This window comes from Homo sapiens, chromosome 2, assembly GCF_000001405.40.
Source record: "Homo sapiens chromosome 2, GRCh38.p14 Primary Assembly".
NCBI lineage: Eukaryota > Metazoa > Chordata > Mammalia > Primates > Hominidae > Homo > Homo sapiens.
This window is the reverse complement of record NC_000002.12, coordinates 131,326,844-131,331,599: the sequence shown is the minus strand read 5'-3', so window position 1 is coordinate 131,331,599 and position 4,756 is coordinate 131,326,844. Positions and strand designations below refer to the sequence as shown.

The 4,756-nt window shown below is 43.3% G+C and overlaps 1 pseudogene; it reads left to right on the top strand.

The window, feature by feature from the left end:
• The first annotated feature begins 302 nt into the window (after positions 1-302).
• Positions 303-3,724, top strand: ARHGAP42P1 (ARHGAP42 pseudogene 1; annotated as a pseudogene).
• Positions 3,725-4,756: the final 1,032 nt, after the last annotated feature.

Here is a 4,756-nt window from a genome sequence, read left to right as displayed (position 1 = left end):
TTATATAGAGGTTTAACAGAATCATTAATGTCGATCAGAAACTCATTTTTGAAAGTTGAGAAAAAGCAGCTTTCACACAGGGAAGCCTGGGGCAAGCATAAACACACTACTTTTTTTTCCTACAAAAGATTCTAAAAATTATCAAGGAACTCATAAAATAAAATTAGCACTTCTATTGTGTGCTTCTTTAATAATCAACAATGTTGCTCGCAGTCCCAGCGCTCCGAACGACGGTGCCTCCCGTTGACAGCAACCTGAGCGGACCCGCGCCTAGGCCCTCCGCCAGGCCAGGCCTGCGCTGCCTCGCCCCGGGAGAGGAAGACTGAGCCCGGCTCAGGTGGCTGCAGCGCGCGGGCCCGTTTCCTTTCAGCGATCAGTCCCCTGGCGTCCCAGCAGCGCCTTCCCCGCTATCGCGCGTCCCCAGCGCCCGCCGCCGCCGCCGCCAGCTGCTGCCCTGACCGCCGGCCCAGACGTGCCCGCGGACGCCGCTGACAGCGCCTGTGCCATGGGGCTGCCTACTCTGGAGTTCAGCGATTCCTACTTGGACAGCCCGGATTTCAGGGAGCGCTTGCAGTGTCAGGAGATTGAACTGGAGCGAACCAACAAGTTCATCAAGGAGCTCATTAAGGAGGGCTCTCCGCTCACTGGGGCGTTGAGGACAGGTAATGTTGATTGCCTACCCAGTTCCCTTACCCTTTCACCCTTTCCAAAGGAACACACCTCTACCCAGGTTGGGGATCTGTCTATGGCAGTGCAGAAATTTTCCCAGTCATTACAAGATTTCCAATTTGAATGTATTGATAATGCTGAAACAGATGATGAAATTAGTATTAGTCAGTCACTAAAAGAATTTGCAAGACTACTCATTGCAGCAGAAGAAGAAAGGTGAAGACTGATCCAAAAGGCTAATGATGTATTAATTGCACCACTTGAGAAATTTCAAAAAGAACAGATAGGTGCAGTAAAAGATGGAAAGAAGTTTGACAAAGAGTGAAAAATATTACTCTATCCTTGAAAAGCATTTAAATTTATCTGCAAAGAAAAAGGAGTCTCATTTGCAAGAGGCAGATACACAAATTGATCAAGCACATCAGAACTTCTATGAAGCATCATTAGAATGTCTTTAAATGGCTCACGCCTGTAATCCCAGCACTCTGGGAGGCTGAGGCAGGCGGATCACCTGAGGTTGGGAGTTCGAGACCAGACTGACCTACATGGAGAAATCCGTCTCCACTAAAAATACAAAATTAGCCAGGTGTGGTGGCACATGCCTGTAAAGCCAGCTACTCGGGAGGCTGACGCAGGAGAATCGCTTGGACCCAGGAGGCAGAGGTTGCGGTGAGCCGAGACTGCGCCATTGCACTCCAGCCTGGGAAACAAGAGCAAAACTCCGTCTCAAAATAAATAAATAAACAAATAAATAAAAATAAATGAAAAATATGTCTTTAAAATTCAAGCGGTTCAAGAAAAAAAGTTTGAATTTGTTGAACCGCTTTTGTCATTTCTTCAGGGTTTATTTACTTTTTTACCACGAGGGATATGAACTTGCCCAGGAATTTGCACCGCATAAGCAACAGCTGCAGTTCAACTTGCAGAATACAAGGAATAATTTTGAAAGTACTCGACAAGAGGTAGAGGGGTTGATGCAGAGGATGAAATCTGCCAACCAGGACTACAGACCACCCAGCCAGTGGACGATGGAAGGCTATCCGTATGTCCAGGAGAAACGACCGCTTGGTTTTACATGGATTAAACAGCCTTGTTACTAGCTCACCGGAAATGTTCAAAAACTTGTATCCGACGAAAGACAGATTCAATTGACAACCACTTCTGCTTCGACATACAAGTAGTTGAAAGGCATGGGATCATCACATTACAGGCCTTCTCAGACGCTAATAGGAAACTCTGGCTTGAAGCCATGGATGGGAAGGAAATGATTTATACTCTGCCTGACATTATAAGCAAGAAAGAAGAAAGGTATTTGAATGAAGCAGGGTTCAATTTTGTGAGAAACTGCATTCAAGCTGTGGAAACAAGCGGTATCACCGTTTTAGGCCTCTACTGAATAGGAGGAGTGAACTCCAAAGTTCAAAAACTTGTGAATATCATATTTTCTCCTAAATCCCCTCCTGATATTGATATTGAACTGTGGGACAATAAGACAATGAGTGGGCTGAAAAACTACCTCAGGTGCTTTGCAGCACCACTGATGACTTACAAGTTACACAAAGATTTGTATCATTGCTGTTAAATCTGATGACCAAAACTACAGGGTGGAGGCTGTACATGCATTGGTGTGCAAATTGCCAGAGAAAAACAGAGAGATGCTGGACATCTTAATAAAACATCTGGTCAAAGTATCACTGCACAGCCAACAAAATCTCATGACTGTCTCAAATCTTGGTGTCATATTTCTCCCAACTCTAATGAGAGCACAAGAATAAACTGTAGCTGCTATGGTGAATATTAAATTTCAGAATATTGTGTTAGAAATTCTTACAGAGCACGATGAAACGATTTTTCATACTGCTCCAGACCCAAGCATTCCTCTTCCTCAGCCTCAGTCTCGATCTGGATCCCAAAGGACACGAGCAATCTGCCTCTCTACAGGCTCTAGGAAGCCCAGAGGGACGTGTACTCCATACCTGGCTGAACCTGACAGTGACTCCTATAGCAGCAGCCCAGACAGCACCCCCATGGGGAGCATCAAGTCACTCTCTTCTCTTTCCTCGGAACAAAATAGCACTACAAAGTCAGCTTCCTGCCAGCCCAGGGAGAAATCTGGAGGGATTCCTTGGATTGCAACCCTTTCATCTTCCCATGGACAGAAAAGCCTTGGTCTCTGGACAACCAGTCCTGAATCAAGTTCTAGAGAAGATGCAACCAAGACAGATGCAGAATCAGATTGCCAGAGTGCTGCTTCGGTCACTAGCCCAGGGGATGTTCCCCCACCCATAGACCTAGTCAAGAAAGGGCCTTATGGACTTTCAGGACTGAAAAGAGCTTCTGCTTCTTCTCTCAGATCCATCTCTGCAGCTGAAGGAAACACCAGCTACAGTGGATCTATTCAAAGCTTAACTTCTGTAGGTTCCAAGAAGACACCCAAAGCTTCAAACCCAGACCTGCCTCCAAAAATGTGCAGGAGGTTAAGACTAGACACCACTGCAAGCAATAGCTATCAGCGTACTGGCTCAGTAGTGGCAGCAAAAGCTCAACTGTTTGAAAATGTTGGTTCACCTAAGCCAGTTTCTTCTGGGCACCAAGCCAAAGCCATGTACTCCTGTAAAGCAGAGCACAGCATGAGTTTTCCTTCCCACAAGGAGCGATATTTTCCAGCGTGGACCCATCAGTGGAACCAGGATGGTTAAAGGCAACTTATGAAGGCAAAACGGGACTAGTTCCAGAAAATTATGTTGTCTTCCTCTACTACTATTTAGTGGATGGCAGTATCTTCATGGTATCCATGGTAACAAATAATAAGTGCTATGATTTTATCTGACACAGATACAAGGGGATCAGCCCACTAAGTGAAAACAGTCAATTTCTATCAAGTTCTTCACCAGCAGACTATGTAGCTCCTTATTAATGGAAAAAAAAAGGTTTAAAAGGTTGGCCATTCTTTTTTGGTTGGTTTCTCATTTTAAAATTTCCTGCTTCTGAAAAATTTATTTTTGGATAATACGTAACTCTCCAGAATGTCTCTTCCATAGCAATTGCAGAGTTTTAAATACCGTATTAAGTACTATCTCCCAGAAATTTGGAAACCAGAAATCTGCTGTATGGATTTTGAGATGCGTCCTTTACTGCCTGGCATTCTCTGAGGATCTGTGAAACTGTTACTTAAAAATGTTACTGAAAAGCTAGTTACCTGCCCTTTGAGTGCCACAGTCCTGACCTGCTTGTTCTTGACACCTTACATATTACTTCAGAGTTCCCCACTGTGCAGACTCTCAGGTATTAACTGTATGAAACTCTTTACATGCTATTATAATCTGTAATCTCTATCTCTTCTAATTTAATGTTTCTAGAATAGGTTAAATACACATATACACACACAACTATGCCTCAGAAAAGTTATGCTTTTACAAATAAAAAGAATAGATTAGAATTAACAAGTAGGGTGAATAACAGTAGGCAGAGTCAGAATCAGAAATAAATATCAGTGGATCAAAATAAAAGAATGAAAAATATTCTGTAATAAAAATTAGCAATGTAATGTAAAAGTCTGATAAAAGGTTATCTTTTTCTTTTACCTCTTACTGTTGACCTCTGTACACTGTAATAAGGTGTTGCTGGATGGAACTTCTTGGTCTAGGTCCTTGGTGACCTTAGTAGTAACAACAGCATTGCTGACACCCTGATTACCCTCTGCTGAAACAGAAGGTAGTTTTTCAGTGTACCAGTCCCTTAGTCTATACTTGGTTTAAACACACTTGCCATCATCTGGTATCCTACTAGATTAGAACCTCTTAAAAGCAAATTGGTTTTCTTTCAAAGACCAACTTGACTCCAAAGAGAGATACAGAATCCTACTTCTGCTGCTGCATAAAGAAATTTCAACCTTCATTTTACTTGAACACAGACCAAAGTGTTCCTGCTTCTGAGTTGTCTGTGAGCTAATTCTACAGATGTTCCATTCAGATTTAAAGCTTTTTTATTGCACAGGACGTGGATATGAAGCCTAACTCTTGTATCTGATGGCAAGGCATATGTTGTAGCCACAGTGCTGGCGATGGTCCCTTTGCTGAAACAAGCT